At 35.8% G+C, this 20,093-nt stretch overlaps 1 protein-coding gene across 6 annotated transcripts in view; it reads right to left on the bottom strand.

Annotated features, from left to right (window-relative positions):
• LRRC7 (leucine rich repeat containing 7) overlaps positions 1-20,093 on the bottom strand; it is a 576,443-nt gene that overhangs the window by 145,747 nt on the left and 410,603 nt on the right. For all 6 annotated transcript variants that reach the window (NM_001330635.3, NM_001366839.3, NM_001370785.2 and 3 more), the window contains 3 exons: positions 18,165-18,239; positions 12,232-12,376; positions 3,985-4,057 (listed from right to left, as the gene is read on the bottom strand). In NM_001330635.3, coding sequence (NP_001317564.1) covers positions 3,985-4,057; positions 12,232-12,376; positions 18,165-18,239 — 293 coding nt within the window. The remainder of the gene's footprint in view (positions 1-3,984; positions 4,058-12,231; positions 12,377-18,164; positions 18,240-20,093) is intronic.

Genomic DNA, 20,093 nt, shown 5'->3' with positions numbered 1-20,093 from the left:
CAGTTTCCCCGAGTATTGACCCAAAGAAGAAAGACTAGTGCCTATCTTAGTGCCTGCTTTTAAAAAGCATCGGGCTGATAAAGATAATTACTTTTGTGTACCCCTAAACTTAAGTTCTCTTTGCTCTATACTGGAGAAAATGCAAGTAACTGTACAGAGAAACACACTGTATAGTGAGGGCATTAAAATAAAAAAAAATGGCTGAGACTTTTACTACTCTTCAAAGTCTGAACATCTGAGTTTGAATTTTAGCAAGTTGTTCCACTCTATAAAAGTGAAGCTTTCTAGATGAGGGGCTATATGCTGACTTGGCAGGTGATGAGGGAGTGATGGGGAGAAGGACTGGGGGAGAGGTAACAGACATTTTCGCTGTCTTCATTGCAGTGGTGATAGTTTCAAGGCTTCTTAGCTACGTCAAAGCTTATCAAATTGTAGACTTTAAATATGTGCAGTTTTTTGTATGTCAATTATACTTAATAAAGCTATTTAAAAAAATAAGGCTTTCCCCTCTTGAGAATACCAAATTTGTTACAGTAAGAATTTATATGGTGGCAATAATCAATAGCTTATCAACCAAAAAGAGTCCAGGACCAGATGGATTCACAGCCGAATTCTACCAGAGGTACAAGGAGGAACTGGCACCATTCCTTCTGAAACTATTCCAATCAATAGAAAAAGAGGGAATCCTCCCTAACTCATTTTATGAGGCCAGCATCATCCTGATACCAAAGCCGGGCAGAGATACAACCACAAAAGAGAATTTTAGACCAATATCCTTGATGAACATTGATGCAAAAATCCTCAATAAAATACTGGCAAAACGAATCCAGCAGCACATCAAAAAGCTTATCCACCATGATCAAGTGGGCTTCATCCCTGGGATGCAAGGCTGGTTCAATATATGCAAATCAATAAATGTAATCCAGCATATAAACAGAACCAAAGACAAAAACCACATGATTATCTCAATAGATGCAGAAAAGGCCTTTGACAAAATTCAACAACCCTTCATGCTAAAAACTCTCAATAAATTAGGTATTGATGGGACGTATCTCAAAATAATAAGAGCTATCTATGACAAATCCACAGCCAATATCATACTGAATGGACAAAAACTGGAAGCATTCCCTTTGAAAACTGGCACAAGACAGGGATGCCCTCTCTCACCACTCCTATTCAACATAGTGTTGGAAGTTCTGGCCAGGGCAATTAGGCAGGAGAAGGAAATAAAGGGTATTCAATTAGGAAAAGAGGAAGTCAAATTGTCCCTGTTTGCAGATGACATGATTGTATATCTAGAAAACCCCATTGTCTCAGCCCAAAATCTCCTTCAGCTGATAAGCAACTTTCAGCAAAGTCTCAGGATACAAAATCAATGTACAAAAATCACAAGCATTCTCATACACCAACAACAGAGAAACAGAGAGCCAAATCATGAGTGAACTCCCATTCACAATTGCTTCAAAGAGAATAAAATACCTAGGAATCCAACTCACAAGGGATGTGAAGGACCTCTTCAAGGAGAACTACAAACCACTGCTCAAAGAAATAAAAGAGGATACAAACAAATGGAAGAACATTCTATGCTCATGGGTAGGAAGAATCAATATCATGAAAATGGCCATATTGCGCAAGGTAATTTACAGATTCAATGCCATCCCCATCAAGCTACCAATGCCTTTCTTCACAGAATTGGAAAAAACTACTTGAAAGTTCATATGGAACCAAAAAAGAGCCCGCATTGCCAAGTCAATCCTAAGCCAAAAGAACAAAGCTGGAGGCATCACACTACCTGACTTCAAACTATACTACAAGGCTACAGTAACCAAAACAGCATGGTACTGGTACCAAAACAGAGATATAGATCAACGGAACAGAACAGAGCCCTCAGAAATAACGCCACATATCTACAACTATCTGATCTTTGACAAACCTGAGAAAAACAAGAAATGGGGAAAGGATTCCCTATTTAATAAATGGTGCTAGGAAAACTGGCTAGCCATATGTAGAAAGCTGAAACTGGATCCCTTCCTTACACCTTATACAAAAATCAATTCAAGATGGATTAAAGACTTAAACGTTAGACCTAAAACCATAAAAACCCTAGAAGAAAACCTAGGCATTACCATTCAGGACATAGGCATGGGCAAGGACTTCATGTCTAAAACACCAAAAGCAATGGCAACAAAAGACAAAATTGACAAATGGGATCTAATTAAAGAGCTTCTGCACAGCAAAAGAAACTACCATCAGAGTGAACAGGCAACCTACAAAATGGGAGAAAATTTTCGCAACCTACTCATCTGACAAAGGACTAATATCCAGAATCTACAATGAACTCCAACGAATTTACTAGAAAAAAACAAACAACCCCATCAAAAAGTGGGCGAAGGACATGAACAGACACTTCTCAAAAGAGACCTTTATGCAGCCAAAAAACACATGAAAAAATGCTCACCATCACTGGCCATCAGAGAAATGCAAATCAAAACCACAATGAGATACCATCTCACACCAGTTAGAATGGCAATCATTCAAAAGTCAGGAAACAACAGGTGCTGGAGAGGATGTGGAGAAATAGGAACACTTTTACACTGTTGGTGGGACTGTAAACTAGTTCAACCATTGTGGAAGTCAGTGTGGCGATTCCTCAGGGATCTAGAACTAGAAATACCATTTGACCCAGCCATCCCATTACTGGGTATATACCCAAAGGACTATAAATCATGCTGCTATAAAGACACATGCACACGTATGTTTATTGCGGCATTATTCACAACAGCAAAGACTTGGAACCAATCCAAATGTCCAACAATGATAGACTGGATTAAGAAAATGTGGCACATATACACCATGGAATACTATGCAGCCATAAAAAATGATGAGTTCACGTCCTTTGTAGGGAGATGGATGAAATTGGAAATCATCATTCTGAGTAAACTATCGCAAGAACAAAAAACCAAACACCGCATATTCTCACTCATAGGTGGGACTTGAACAATGAGAACACATGGACACGGGAAGGGGAACATCACACTCTGGGGACCATTGTGGGGTTGGGGGAGGGGGGAGGGATAGCATTGGGAGATATACCTAATGCTAGATGAGGAGTTAGTGGGTGCAGCGCACCAGCATGGCACATGTATACATATGTAACTAACCTGCACATTGTGCACATGTACCCTAAAACTTAAAGTATAATAATAATAAATTAAAAAAAAAAGAATTTATATGATTCTTCACACTAGGATGTAGGGCAAGATCTCAATAAAATGCCCTTACATAATTTCAGAATGAAGACAGCCTCTACTGATTTCTCACTTTACACGGATTGTAAACAAAAGCACTTCAATGGAACATTGATAATATATATAGTTCTTAAAGAATTGTAAACCAAATGTTAATGACAATATTAGAAATAAATTGTTATCAAATAAATGGAGTATATTTTATCTTTAAAAGGCAATGTTAGACTTTCATCTTGAAGTTTTAAAAAATGCTAGCTAAAGCAGATGCTTTTCTCCTTAGCTTCTAAAAATACGTTAAGATTCTATAAATATTAAATGTTACTAATAGTGTAATGGTAACATATACATATTGCAGAGCCTTATAAAAATTGGTTTAATTTTGCAAGAAACAGTGAAGTGAATTCAGAGCTGCTACTCAGTCAAAAACATCAAACTAATAATATCTGAAAAATATCAGCAAGAGTATAATTGAAGGTCTGGGTAATCATTTTCCTTGTGAAAGATTCATGGGTAAACATTTCTCATGATATTATAAAGTTGGATATCAAATGCAATGTTTAGATATAAAATTAAGATATACACAAATATATATAAATAAAATATGGTTTAAAATAAGCTGACAGATGAACAGGATTATTGGTATCTTTAGTAGAAAATGTTTTGAATTAGAAAACTCAATATATCCTTTAGTTTCTGGCTTTTGAGAGGCAGACTGGAATGAAAAGTTGGCACTTACTTTCCAATTGTATTGGGTAGCATTGTAAGTTGATTGTCATCTACTTTTAGAGTTGTTAGTTTTTTCAAAAGTCCTAAAGCAGAGAAGAAGGTTGATTAATACATAAGAGCAGATTATGACAGGAAATGTGATATAAAAGAAATCACATGAATCACTTGTGTTGAATGCTTGGCATGCTAATTGGCCAAACTCTGCTAATACACACTCATAAAACTGACGTTTGTGTGTAGTCTAATTTTGACCTTCTAGTTGCAAAAAAGTTGCATACATCAATGACAGTTCAAGAATATAAATGCAGAGAAATAAACAAAACATACAGCTCCACATACACCCCAGTTGACACTAATACTACTACATTTCCCTTTTGTATTCTTCAGCAAATGGACCAGTTGAAATTTTTCAAGCCAGCTGTGATTTAATATTTAATTAGTTCCTAAGCAGTAATAACTAACATCGCTGTTGTGATACAAATTGAAAACAAATCTGAATTAAGTCCAATGATCAACGAAAATGAATACTGAAGTATTGCAATGCAGCGGTTATAATTATGTTCTTGGAAATTTACAACATATGACGTCATATTCTTTTTGGCACCATAAATCCTGCCTTGGATCAGCAATAAGCACAAAAACTTAGAACTGGCCAAGAATTTAAGTTACAACTATTTATCTTTCATTATCTGATTTATGGCCTCCATACCCTTAATGGCTTGCTCTCTTCCCAGGGTTTTAATGAGCAATAGTCACACAGTAATTGAAGAACAGCTGCATTTGGCATAATCAACTTCCTTATCCAACCATAAAATAACCTACAATATTGATATGGCTTAAATAGTCCAAATCCAAGGGCAAAGCATTAACACTTAACAAATTTTGTTTTACATTGGAACTACACATGTACACTATAGATTGCTGCATTCTGCAAAAAAAAAATTTTACTAATTGACATAGTAAGTTTCATGATCATATATGTTTTGAGAGACGCCAAATTAAACAAAATTAAATAGCTTTCTTTAATAGTTTGTCTAGGAGCTTTTAACATACCAATGTGACTCTCCAGATTTATTATGGAATTCATGTGTGTGTCTTTGTGTGTGTGTGTGTGGTGCACAGTATGTTGTTGAACTAGTGTTTTGTGAACATGTTTTGAGAAACTGGCTATAGATCATGCCCATATTTCTCAAATATTTTGAGGGTTCCTAACAGGCATAGAGTAAGTCACAAAAAGTCTGAAATAAAGCTGTGGCTGCACTTCACATTTCAGTATGCTCTGTTATGTATTCTTCAGAAGCAATCAGAATCTCTACTGCAGTAGAGAGAAATGTTATCACTATCAGACTGTTATGAGCAAGTACCTGGGAACTGAATACATCAGCTTGAAAACAACATCACCTGGGAAAGGGACAGTTCACATTGTGGCAATTTATCATTGAAGTTTGAAAATCCACTGCCATATCCATCTATGTTCAAAAGGTGATTGAATCATTTTAGCTTCTCCAGAGCATATGTTACAGTATCAGCCTTGGAAATATAAAAGAGCACCTGAGCTTGTTTTTGAGTTGTGGAAAGAAAACAGGAAAGTATGACTTATAGCTAAGTTTTTTGTGACTTGGTAGCCTGGATCAGACGAGTGTCCTGCCTGCCAGTGGAGCTGTATGTGGGTTGATGGTCTCAACATCACTCAATCGGGTCACAAGAAGCTTGGGAGTGGGTTACAGATGACTGAGCAAACGTCACAAAGTCAGGGTGCAAAGTACTCTCAGAGGATCATAGTCTCCAGCTCTGAAGTAATGGAGAGAAAACCTTGAGGAAGGTTGGGGCCTAAGGCTAAATGCTGATGTGACAGATTATCCTGAAGACTGGAGTAGTGGCTCTCACAAGAAACTTTTGTTAAGTGCATCTTTTTCAATATCTTTAAAGGTTGAAGCAATTTAGTTCCTGCTCAGCTCCAAGTCTGTGGGTTTAAAGGAACCTCACTCATTTGTTGTGTGGCTATTTTGCCAACACTCATATTCCATCCAAGAGGATACTCTTCGGACAGAGTCTGGAGCTTCTGTAGAATTATGATTGCCCCTGGGATGAAATTAGGCTGCAAGCCTCACCCTTGTTGCTCATGTCTTCCTCCAGCATTTAACATCTTTATCGCATTTCTATATCATATGTGCTTAGACTCTTTTCTCTAGAGTAATCAACGGTATTTTATCCTATTCCTTCTCTCTACTTGTGCCCTTCTCCAAGTCTCCATCTCTTCATCCTATACTCCCAACTAAGAAATACTGAAGAGATAGAAAAAGAAGGCCTTTTCCTACAATTTTAACTACACACACATATATGCAGTCAGCATTAATACATTAAACATTAATATAATTTGCTAATATTTACATTTACAAATATATAATAGAACTTTGAAAGGAAATAGTTGTGCACTCATCAAATCTAAGATTATAATAAATATTATATTGTAACAATAGCTGTTTACTATATGTCAGGTACTATTACTACTATCACTTAATAGATGATGAAACTGAGGCAAGATTAAGTAACTTGTCTAAGGTCACACAGCAAGTAAGGTAGAAAAGCCAGAATCAGAACTCTAAGTAACCTAACTATAAAGCCCATGCCCTTAACCTTTAAGTGAGTAAGATAAATTATTAAGCAAAAAATATTTCTTTTTCTTTTATTTTTCTTTATTGAGTTTCTCTGCTATCCAAAGAAGCTGATTATGAAAACTCTCCATCTAGAAGAGGAAAAGAGTCCCTTTCATTTGCCCTGGAACCAGCACAGGGAAAGTGACTCAGCACACGGGGCTTGTTGTTGAGTATATCATTCCATTCAAATACCCGATAGCTGCAGAGGAACTAAAAAAGGCATGAAGAAAGTAAAGATTTTATTTAAGTTGCCATATCCCTCTATTAATACTATGAAGATTCTTATCTTTTATTCTTTTAAATGTCGGTAGTCCAATAGATAATCCATGATCCAAATAAGGAGGACACGATGCAATTCGCCATCCAATTATCACTAATGAACCATTCTAGGGCCTCAGAACAGAGCTCTCAGTTTCCTATTCCAGATATTTATTTTGACCAAGAAAGGGAATTCTCTGAGGAGAGTCAGCTACTCTACATTTAGAATCAGGGACTGTGGCAACTCTGCAGATGTATAAATACAAATTTCCCTGACAGGTCAATAAGGTCCAAAGATAGTTCAAGGAGTAAGCTACTACAACAGTTACTTTGAGAACCATTCAGGTCATAAATGAAGGTGTAAAATATATAATACCACCTACCTATCCTAGTCTGTCATATGCCAATCCAGTGTCTAGCTTGATATTCTCTGTTACCTATTACATGCTGACTTCTTCAGACCAGAAGGCTAATTTCCTAGTTTCTTTCTTAAAGGAAACTATTTCATACAAACAATTATATCATGTTAATAATAATGCTTCATTTTCTACCAGTTTGTTTTTTTTTTTTTTTGATAAAAGGTCCCATTCTGTCACCCAGGTTGGAGTGCAGTGGTACAATCATAGCTCTCTGCAACCTCTGAACTCCTGGGCTCAAGCAATCCTACTGCCTCAGCTTCCTGAGTAGTTAGGACTGCAAGTGTGTGCCACTGTGCCTGGGTAATTTTTTAATTTGTTGTAGAATTGGGAACTTGCTGTGTTGCCCAGTCTGGTAACCAACTCTATTGCCTTTGTAAAATCAAACTTTCTGTGTTTTGTTTTAGATATGTCTCATAACCACAATATAGCTGAACTTGAAATTCTGGATCTTTTAATAGAATAAGTGTAATCAATTAAATCTATTACATTTGTTGTGATTTATGACAATTTGAATTTATTTTTACCATCTTATTTATAACTTCTATTTTATCATTTTTACATTTTATTTTTCTTTCTTCCACCGTATGAATATTTTCTTTCAGAACTTTTCCCCTCCTCTCCTGGTTTGGAAGTATCAGCTTCATTTCTATTAAGTAGATACATTTACATTTTTAACATGTCTATTTAACTGAATATCATGCAAATTCTAAAGTTATGCAGTATTTCTAGCCTCTGCTTGAATAAGGTAAGGTCCTTCACATTCCTTAATCCTGTCTAAACATTTTAAATATAAAAGATTCCTCTTTACAGGCACTAATTATTTAGATATAACAACTTCATTTACCAAATTGAGTAATTTAATTAATTTAATTTACCAAATTAAGTTCATAAATAACATCTTTATTGCATTTCTATATCATATGTGCTTAGACTCTTTTCTCTAGAGTAATCAAAGGTATTTTATCCTATTCCTTCTCTCTACTTTTGCCCTTCTGCAAGTCTCCATCTCTTCATCCTATACTCCCAACTAAGAAATACTGAAGAGATTTCTTTCTTAATTTCTACCAAATTAAGTTGGTAAACTAAATTACTTAATTAAATTACTTAATTTACCAAATTAAGTTGGTAAATTTGGTAAAGCTTGCCATTGCTTTATGCATTCACTTCCTTCCTTCTGAGTTTGTTTTTGTTTTCTGAGTAAAGTACATCTTTTAAGAGCAGATTCTCTTATTCTTGGTATATGTTCAAATATATTTGTTGTGTGCTCACTCTTGAATGAATGTTTACTTGGGTATAGAAATCCAATCTGCCTGTAATTAACCTTCAGTACTTTGAAGATATTACTCCGCTATCCAGAAGATATTGTCACTGATGACAATGAAGACATCTCTAATTATTATTATGTAGATAAGCTCTTTTTGTTCTATGGCAGCTTTAAACAATACTTTTCTTTGTCCTTGCAGTTTCAGAACAATGAGCCAGTGCAAATTTATTATATTTATCTCTTTTAGCACTATGTGTATGCATTTATTATGATAAATTACTTGTGTATTTAATGTTGAAAAATAATATCAACTATTTTCTCTTTGAATAGTTCCTCTTTTCCATTTATTCTGTTCTGTATTTCTGGAATTCTGTATTTATTCCTGGAGAAGGTAATTTGTTTGCTTTTTCATTTTTAGAATGCAATTTCTATTCTATTCTCTGTGTCTCTTAACTCATTTTTAATATTTCTTATTAACAAATTTCTATGTGCCTGTTCTGTTCCTCAGCACTGTCTTCCAACTTACAAATTTTATACCTGACTATATCATACTTTCTTCATTATAGCTGTTGTATTTTAAAATTACCCTATGTGGTATTTCATACCTAATGTGGTATTTTAATTTCCAGGATTTCTTTTTCAAAATTTATTTTTGAAAACTTTTTGGCAAATTAAAATTGTATATAATTATCAGGTACATAGTGATGCAGTGGTATCACTTTAGAATGATTGAATCAAGCTAATTAACATATCTGTCAATTTAAATACTTATCATTTATTCCTCCTGTCTAACTGCAACTTGGTGTCCTTTGACCAATATCTTCCTTTTCATTTTCAGGATTTTTAATTGATTCTTTTTCTTAACCATCTATTTTTAGTCATAGCTCAGGTTTTTGTTAGATAAGTCTTATTATTTGTGTTTCAGCATTTTAAATATAAAAGATTCCTCTTTCACTGGCCCTAATTATTTGGCTATAACACCTAATTGTTATTCTTTTATCTATTTGATGTTCTATACATGCTTAAAATAGTTTTCATATTGGTTGATAACTTTTGTTTCCCTTAGGGTAAATTCTCCTATTTGGTTGAATTTTTGGTTGTCAAAGCAACATTAGTTTCCTTCAACATTTTTGTTTGCAAGCTCATTTGTGAGGGTGAATGTTTCCCCCTTCACTATGCTCACTTCTCCCTGTCTGGCAGTTTTCTGGTTACCTCCACCTGACCCCCAGGTTTCTGGAGTTCAGAACCAGTCTTATATTAGCAATGTTGGTGGTCTTATCCTTTGTGGATACTGCAGATTCAGTCCAAGCCAGCTTGTCACTTGCCATAGTTTTCCGCAGTGAATTTTCTGTTATTTCCCTTTTCTGTAGCTCCACATACTAGTTGTAAATTTTTCAGTCCCTTTTCACAGAAAAGAGGTCCCGCCCTAATCTTTTGTAAGTTCTGATTCCTCTGTTGTGCTTAAAGTCCTTCTATTTCTTATTTCACGGTAAGAACTGAACTTACAGCTGCTGTTTGTGGTTTGTAGCCCATCAGGCCTGGAGATATTGCTGGATTTCCATTCTATCACAGGTTCAGGTTGATGTTCATTCTTCTTAAGCAAACATCATTTTTCTTTTTAAAAATTAGAATTTTTTTTTCAGAGATGGAGTCTTGCTATGTTGCCTAGGGTGGACTCGAATTCCTGGGCTCAAGCAATCCTCTTGTCTCAACCTTTTGAGTAACTGGGACTGTTGGCACATGCCACCATGCCTGGGTGAGTGTGGCTAAATTATTTTATTTACTAAGTGTTCAAACAGCACGTAGAATATGCCAGGCACAGTTCTTGGCACTGAGGAGTCAGTAATGAAGAAAAATATGTTCTTTGAATATATAGAGTTTTTATATTTTCAAGATATATTTAAAATGGTATGGGATGGTGGTGAGTAGGAGTGTAAGGTTATGTATTAAGTTGCTCTGTCATCTTGACCAGTGGATGTTCTCTATAATCATACTTCCTTATCTGTTACAACATAAACCAGTATTTCCTAAATTTGTCTGATCACAAGTTTCATCTAAGATGTTTAATAAAAGTACAGATCAAGGGGCTTGTCACATTTACTGAATCAGAATCTTAAGAGACAAAGCCTAGAAATGTGGAAGTGTTTAATAAAACTCTCAGTTAAGACCCATGATTGAGCAAGTTAGAGAAATATCATTATAAAATATGGGATTTTGTAAATAAAAAGTCAACAATTCTAGGAAGAAAGAAACGATGGACCACAATTTTGCTAAAACTAATGTTCTTTATCAGCCTCAAAGAATGGCTAAGTAGAAGTAATAATGTATTGAAGAAAAATTTGGAAAATTGCCTCATCTTCAACTGGATTACCTAGGATATGGCTTAATTTTTAAAAGTTATATGTTCTGGAACTTAATAATGATTAAAAATTTACAACTCATATGTGGAGCTAGTGAAAAGGGAAACAGAAAATTCACTGTGGAAAACTATGGCAAGTCACAAGTTGGCTTGGATTGGATCTGCAGCATCCACGAAGGATAAGAGCACCACATTGCTAATAGAAGACTGATTCTGAACTTCAGTCAATCTTAATAATGATTAAGTTCCAGAACATATAACACATCTGTTTCAAAGAGGTTAAAATCTATGTTACAAAGTTAAGTAATTTAATGATTACCCTTTTCGTAGAGTTCTCTTACAAATACTAACAGCAAGATACCTACACAAAAAAGCTTACACATTATTTAAATGAGTCTTTCACTATTTTACTCATATAAACTTTTTTTGTTTGTTTGTTTTTGAGACGGAGTCTCCCTCTATTGCCCAGGCTGGAGTGCAGCGGCATAATCTCGGCTCACTGCAACCACCGCCTCCTGGGTTCAAGCGATTCTCCTGCCTCAGCCTCCCTCCCGAGTAGCTGGGACTACAGGCATGCACCACCATGCCCGGTACTTTTTGTATTTTTAGTGGAGATGGGGTTTCACCATATTGGCTAGGCTGGTTTTGAACTCCTGACCTCGTGACCCACCCGCCTTGGCCTCCCATAGTGCTGGGATAACAGGTGTGAGCCACTGCGCCTGGCCCATGTAAACATCCTTAAACAAAAATGTATGAGTGCTTTTTATACACTAACCGGCAAATTATTTGATCTAATGAATCTTAACATGTTAAGGACATGTGACTTTTTAAAAATAATAGAACTAAGAAGACATTTTATGTTTATACTTTTTATATGTTACTCCTACATTATACCAATGTTACAACAATATTACAAATAGAATATAGCAACATCCTATGGATGGAAGCTATTGTAATTCTATCATAATATAAGGATACATACATGATTATTAAATTACTCTGAAGAAAACATACATACTCCTTATAATAACATTTTGCAACTTTGGAGATATAACAATTTTTAAACAATATCAATTTGGTAGGATCATTTTAACAGAAGAGCCTTCTTGAATTTGGAAACGAGTTAATATTTCACTTAAGATATTTGTTAGATACTATTTTATGATTTCCATAGCACATTTTAAAATTTATTAACATCAGACTAACAGTATATTACCTATATCTATAGACAAACTATACTTCCAAAAAAGAAAATGGTATATTTGACATAAATATTTGTGACAAAATATTATATTCTCACCTATAGAATCAGGCAATTGTTGCAACATATTGGATGACAATAAGAGGTCCTCAAGGGCTTCACATCCAGAAATGTCCATGTCAACTGTTTCTATTCTGTTTTTTGACATATCCAGGTATACCAACATCTTTAACTTCCCTATAGACTTGATGACATTGCATAAACTCAGGGTTAGTTGAGAGACTTTCACAAGACATTTTAAAGTTGTAAGAACCACTACACTGTAAAGTTTATTTTAAAAGCAACCACAACAATAACAAGTGTTGGCAAGAATGTGGAGGAATTGTAAACTTCAAACATTGCTAGTAGGAATGTAAAATGGTATAGCCACTTTGAAGAACTGTTTGGCAGTTTCTCAAAATGACTCAACAATAAATAGGGTTATACCACTATAGGCATATACCACTGAGAATAAAAACATATGTACACACAAAAACTTACACAAATGGTCACAGATGCATTATTCACAATGTCAAAAATTGGTGACAACCCAAATGTCCGTCAACTGATGAACACATAAATCAAATGTGGCATATACATATAATGAAATATTACTTGGTAATAAAAAGGAATAAAGTATTGATACATGTTATACAATGTATGAACCTTGAAAATACATGCAAAGTAACAGATGCCAGTCACAAAAGACCACACATTGTATGATTCCATTTATATGATATGTCCAGAATATGCAAATCCATAGAGATAGAAAGTTGAGTAGGGTTTCTAGGAGCTGGGTGGATGGGGAGTGTGGGAGTTATGGCTAATAGGTTCAGGTTTTCTTTTAGGGCTCATGAAAATGTTCTAAAATTAGATTGTGGTGATGGTTGTACAACTATGTGAGTAGTCCAAAAACCACGGAACTGTATATGGTATGTGAATTATATCTCAATGCAGCAGTTAGAAAACACACAATAATCTTGAAGTTGGCACTGAATAAAATAAATAACTCCCAACTAAAGAAGCTGCCACTGAAACAATGACATTGACATGTAGATCCTTAAAATTTCAAATGCATAAGAAAGGTTTTAAATTATAATTTTGGAGATTACCCTATTAATTAGAGTCAATGTTTTGCTCATTCAATGGCCCTTTTTGAAGGATCTACTATGCACCAGTATCTGTGTTACGTATTCAAGAACAATCAAGAATAAGACAGCTAAGTATGGGGACAGACTTGCCATGATGAAGACAAAGTTTTTATCAGTAAGGAGTTCTCAGTAATGAAGGAAACTTTCAAGTAAGAAATAATTATAACACCCTGTGACAAGTGCAATAAAAAAGCATGTAGTGAATGCCACAGAACAGGGAAGGGCTGCAAATGGCCTGGAAGATGCTGCTCATCAAAAGAAGAGAACCTGTACCTGGAAGGGAGAACAGCACGTGCCTTTATAAAGTGTGACGAAGCATGCTATGTTTGAGGAAGAGTGGGAAATTCAAAGTGGCTGAGTATAGTGATGAAGTTGAGATTACAGGGAGAAGCCAGATGCTGAAAGGGTTTCTATGTCACGTGAAGAAATGCAAACTCTATTTTATAGGCAAGGAAAGCAAAAGGATTGTAATATGGGGAATGACATGAACAGATTTATGCTTAGAAGTAGTAACTTCAGGGAACTTTCAAAAGCTGGAGTCAAGGAGATCTGTTAGAGGGATATAGAAGTATTTTAGCTGTTAAGGCAACAGAAGTGAGGATGAAGAGGGGATGGACTCCAGAGAAAGTTAGAAGTGGAATGATTGGATTAGTAACTGATTTCTGAGGAGAGGGAAGGATCAACCCATATCTTGGGCAAGGAGTGAACATGTGGGCGGGACACGGACTAGAGGAGTTAGGGCAGGGCAAAGGTCCTCATTTTCCTTTTCCTTTAGGGCATGTTTTGTAAATAAATGTTCCACACATTTCAGTTACTCAACGAATGGTTCATCTGTTTATCTGGTCTACCTGTGCATACTTTACCATCTCTAATTACTTGACAGAGTATAAATAAACAAATACACAATAAATACATAAATTTATTACATACACACAAGCTCGCACTTGGCACTATACTAAGTACTTTATATATATTATTTGATTCAATATTTTATGTTTTTGCTACCCAAAATGTGTTCGGCAGACCAGCAGCATTGACACCACTTGGGAGCTTGTTAGAAATGTATAATCTCTGCTGGGCGCGGTGGCTCACGCCTGTAATCCCAGCACTTTGGGAGGCCAAGGTGGGCGGATCACGAGATCAGGAGTTTGAGACCAGCCTGACCAACATGGTGAAACCCCGTCTCTACTAAAAATACAAAAATTAGCTGACTATGGTGGCGGGCACCTGTAATACCAGCTACTCAGGAGGCTGAGGCAGGAGAATCAGTTGAACCCTGGAGGCAGAGGTTGCGGTGAGCTGAGATCATGCCACTGAACTCCAGCCTGGGCAACAGAGCGAGACTCCATCCAAAAAAAAAAAGTATAATGTCAGACCCACCCCAGATCTGCTGAATCAGAATCCACATTTTAACACATATTAAATATTGGAGATTAAGTCATGTCACATGTTGGATTCCTTGGGAAGCAGAGACAAAGAAAGAAGTTTTTGAGAGTGTTTAGGATCAACACCAGTAGAAAGGAAGAGACAGGAAAGAAAGGGAGCAGGATTGGGTAGACAAAGAAGTTGGGCTGTGATGAAGTCTTAAGAAAGTCCTTGGCTGGCACTTCAAAGATCACTGAAGTTGGGATTGCCCTGAAGTTGTTCTGAGTAGAGGATGAAGGGCTGAGCCTTTATATACCTGCATTGACTGATCATTGGATGGAGGTCTCTGGGAATGGGGTTATGACCGTGGATGAAGATGTTCTCTTTACGTGAGGCAATTTCTGAAGAAGGCTGGAGAGCTGCAAGCAGCATTTCCAGAAGCTGGGGGAATAGAGTAAATTCTTAAGTCCTGGAGAAGGATGCATGAGAGCATCTACTACAAGTAACACTCCAAAGTTATCCCATTAATATGGGGTGGAGCTGATTTCAAACTCAATTTTATCAGACTACAGGCTACAAAGTCCATTTGGAGGGCACATATCCTTAATTAACCCAGTGCAAATCTCCAGCCCTGCTCCCTCAGCTTCCCATGTGGGTGCAGAGTGTGAGCACAGGCTTCGAGTGACTGAATATTTGCTAGCTAGAATCAGAGTACTTTGGATGAGTCAGAGTTTCTCCTCATGCTTGGAAATGTGTCACTTGGAAAAATATTGTCACTTTACTCATAGCTTTCCATCCCAAGGAACTATCATGTTACCTAAGTTCACTCTTCTTTTCCATTGAGCAATGAAAGAATGATATGTGTGTGTGTGTTTCTTTTTTGTTCCTTTATCATGAGATATCATGAGAAAATTTATTTTCTCCTTGAAGCTTCCAGCTTCCTTCATTGCTATCTTCAGCGTAATTTAGTATTTTGGTGTGCAGTTCCTAAACATTCTTTTTGGAATAACACTTTGATGTTGAAAACACTGTATCAAAGCAATCATAGCCTGAGGACTGTAAAGGCATAAATTCTTACAGTGCTTGAGGATATTGAATGTTGATCCCACATTCTCTGGGCATAGAGGGGTCTATAGGTGAGCAGTGCAGCAAATGGAAAGAGTAGAAGCCACAAGTAAAAGAAGATACTGGAGTTTGTTTAAAATAAATGTGAATTCAATACATGATTTAGTCATATTTTGGTTGATTAACCTTAGATTGATGGTCACAAGATAGAACTATGTAAAAGACTAAATATTTGATCATTATCTATTTGCTTCTCTGACTTGTGAAAAACACAGTGGAAAATAATAGCCCAGACTATTCAAAAGTATTCACAAAGTATATTAACTTTATTATGATACATGAACTAAGAAAAAAATGAATGTGCTTCTTTTCCCCATGGCTAATGATATTAAATGTTTTAATTATTCTGTGAAACTGACAGACATAGGCTGGAGACCACACTCAAGATGAACCATTCAAAGCCAAGTATTTTGGGGTAACTGAAAAGCAATTCTTTGCCAGCGCCAACATCCAGAAAGCCATGGCTATTTCTGGCAGGGAGGTGTAGGGTATTCCCACACAGCGTATAACAAATTACCAAGTGCAAGTATACAAAATAAAGTAAGGAATCTATATAAAGCTAGCAGTACATATGAAACATCTACTCTCGAGACAGACAAATTAGGCAGCATTATATGTTTTATGGAAGATTTCATCCCTGCCTTTCCACTTAAATAACAAACTTATTGAGAAATTTGGCATGTGAGTTGATTTGCACAGTGGATTTTGGGAATGTAACAATTGTGAAAAGTAAAATTCTCATTTGTACCTTCTATTGGTTCCATAGAGAGCCTTTGGGAGCTTTACAGTCAACAGCAGCCTCTGGCGCTGGTTTGAATTACAGCTCCCTGGGGTACTGGCTGTGTTATCTTGGGCCAGTTACTTTTTTTGTATTTTAGTTTCCTCATCTATAAAATGGGGATGGTAGTAGAACTTACTTCATAGGATTGTTGTAGGGATTCAATGAATCAACATTTGTACAACACAGAGAGAATGCTTAGCCCGTGGTAAATGCTATGTAATTTTTAATAAATAAATATATTGAAGAAGAGGTATAAACTTTTAGCTGGCATATATTCTGATTCTTCAATCTTTGCACAGGGATTGGTAAGTGTCTCGTGTTGCCTCAGGATTTGTACATACCTTGACTATAGCACAAATCAGGCTCTTCTATGAGTAGTGAAATCCAGATCTGTTTATCCTGCTATGTGCGAGCTTCTCAAACAAATATATTCAAGGTCATTGAATGTATTATCTTTGTAACCCTGACATTAGCATAGTTTCTGATTCATAGAGCTTTATTGGTACATGATTTTTAAATAAATCAGTGAACAATAGATGTGCATATTTTTCTGTTTTGTGTCTTTGATGGTAAAAATGCATCTTTTGATAAAAGCATTAATTATTTTTCCATAATCTTTGTTTCAGATTTTCTCCTTTATGTGGTCTTATGCTTATTCAAAGACAGAATAAATGTCTTGTTCTTGTTGGTTTTGCTGTCATCTTAAGTAATTTTTAATGTCAATTCAAAAAAGAAATAAAACTGGTTTTGAGAATACACATCTAAACCTCTGTGTTGGCTGAAGATTTATTACATATTCACCTGCTGTGGCTACTTAGACCAATGCCAGGAGTTTGGAGTTATACAAAACAATAGGGAGACTTGTGTTTGCGCTCTCTCGCTGTCTCTCTCTCTTGGTGTGTGTGTGTGTATGCAAGTGGCAAGGGGCAGCGTTTTATGGGAACATTCTTTTGTTAGATGGGAAAAGTAGGAATAATCACACTCAATGAGTTGACTGGTAAACTTATACTCAGGAGATAGTACTGGGCTGGACTTTAGTTGAGGAAAAAATTTGACTCTGGTTTAACTTTCTGTTTTTAATACTGTATGATCCTTGCCATTTTCAAAAATTCACATGGGTTCTATTGAAAATCACCTGAACTGAGAGAGATTTTTATTTTGTAGAAGAGCTCTAACAAAATGAATAAAAACCATTGTCTAGTTACCTGTAAGAATAAGGTTGATTTTGTAAAAATAAAACTTGGTATTATATATGGTATTTTGCTTTTTAAAAATATAACTATAAATTCTTTCAGCTTTTAAAGAACAGTAAATGTGGGAAGAGATGACAAATATACTCCAAAGGGAATAAGAAAAATCTTTCTTACGTTTTGTATACCTATAACACTCACAAAAAGATACATAAAATACTAAAAAAAAAAATGGTGAAAACACTTGGTGACTGAACACTCCTAATGAGTATTATTTTACTTTGAAACACAAATACTGAAATTTAAGAGTTGAGATTATGATCAAATACAACAAACGTATAACAAATATTAAACAACATGGTAGAATAAAAACTTACATACCCCAGGTAACACTTGTAATGCATTATTATCCATCCATAACTCCCTCAAATTTTGTATTTGATCCAGAACTTCAGGCTGGGAGAGAAGTGGGGAGGAAGGAGAGAGGAAAACAAAATTAAATTAGTTTTTACTTATCACAAACATAAGATGTAATTTCTTGGATCTTGAGCTTTTATTTGGGAATCTAGTGTTAAGCATCTAAGAAATTCCACCTTTAACAGACCTCTAGGAAAACTGGTATTCCCTGACAGCCAATTTGGAATTGATCTGGAATCAGTTAGAACAATAATAATAAAATTGAAGATCTATTACTCACATACATTCTCCCTGAATACCTTACAATTATTCTTTGGAGTACTGATTACACTCTATTTGATAAGCATCTGTCTTTGTCACTAGAGTATAAACTTTTGAAGACCTGGGGAATGTTTGTTTTGTAATCACTATATCCTCACATCCCTGTTGCTTACCATGGGCACATAGTAGCTTCTTACTGTGTGTGTATTAGCGCCTTGCACACAAACATCCATGCACACACAGGGGTTACAGAACTGTGATGAGATAATACTGGGTTGGTGCAAACGTAATTGCGGTTTTGCCATTACTTTCAATGGCAAAAACGGCAATTATGTTTGCACCAACCTAATACTATGCATAAGATGAATAAGCCCCATTGACTTTTAAAAAATCAGTCCCCAAGCTACCACCTGAAGACCCATGGACTTTTAATCCTTTCATTTTGTCAATGAATAATTATTTGTTGAATAGTTGGGGATGCCTACTACATGTAATGTACAATGCGGTACATGCCTTGTATGTACATGCCATATAACCACCAGTACTTGCCTTGAAATAGCTGATGATCTAGATCTAGATCTAGGGGAGAGAAATATTTATAAATAACTAAAACCAAGGCAGCATATAGGAGAATACTTTAGAATATGTTTTAAAAGTTCAGAGAAGGGACAGAGAGTATATGATCAAAGTGTAACATGTAGTATATAAAGAAACACTTTCTTTCTCTAACTAGATGCTGTCTCTAAATTCTAACTTCGGGCAGCAGACTGTATAGAGAGAATAGAGGTTGCTATTGCTGCCAACATCAAAACCTTCCTAGCGGTAGCCTAATTTTTCTCCAGAAATTATCCCCTTCCCTATTCTTAGGCCTTGTGCTTCCTTTGAAGCCCATTCCTTTTTTGTTTGTTTGTTTTTTACCACTTTGGGAGATGATTAAGGCCTCAGCTAACTAGTGCATTGTATCCACCTGGCCACAGAGATTGATCCAGGATGGGAACATGGCCCATTCAGAACACATACAAAGCAGTGAATCTTTGTGACTTCTGGGGAAAACACTATTGCTTATTGCTTTTCTCTGCAGTCCTGGGAACTTCACGCATGACAAAAAAAGGAGAGCCTGTCTAAGGATGGAGCATTTCTACAGAAAGTGGAGCTAAAGGATAGATCCTGGTAAGATTATATAAGCCTGGAAGGCAGATTTTCTGTTTTTTTTTTTTTTTTTTTCTAACTGAAACAATTATTACTTACTGAAACAACAAAATACAAAACAGTTCAATAAAATCTGGAATCTAATTAGGTTCCAAAATACAAAAGCAGTGCACTTTGTAGAATACTTGTAGAAAAGAATGGAATTATATCAAAGTTACCATGAGAATATTAGTAATTGTAGGTCATTGGAGGTTATCTACACATCCTTAACAAATTAGGAGGGCTTAAGACTTCCAGATCTACTTTGGAGATAGTCTCAGATTCCTTTAGCCTGTGCTTGCAATAGAACGTGGTAAGATTCTTGGGAGAAGTTTCCTTTATAACAAGGATTGAAATTTAAAATTAGAGACATGGCATTCTGCTGTGAAATGAAAGGCATCCATGAGGTAGTATGGAGGATGTGTGTGTATGCATGTAGAAAAA

This window comes from Homo sapiens, chromosome 1 (assembly GCF_000001405.40).
Source record: "Homo sapiens chromosome 1, GRCh38.p14 Primary Assembly".
Classification (NCBI taxonomy): Eukaryota; Metazoa; Chordata; class Mammalia; order Primates; family Hominidae; genus Homo; species Homo sapiens.
This window is presented reverse-complemented; position numbering and strand designations above follow the sequence as displayed.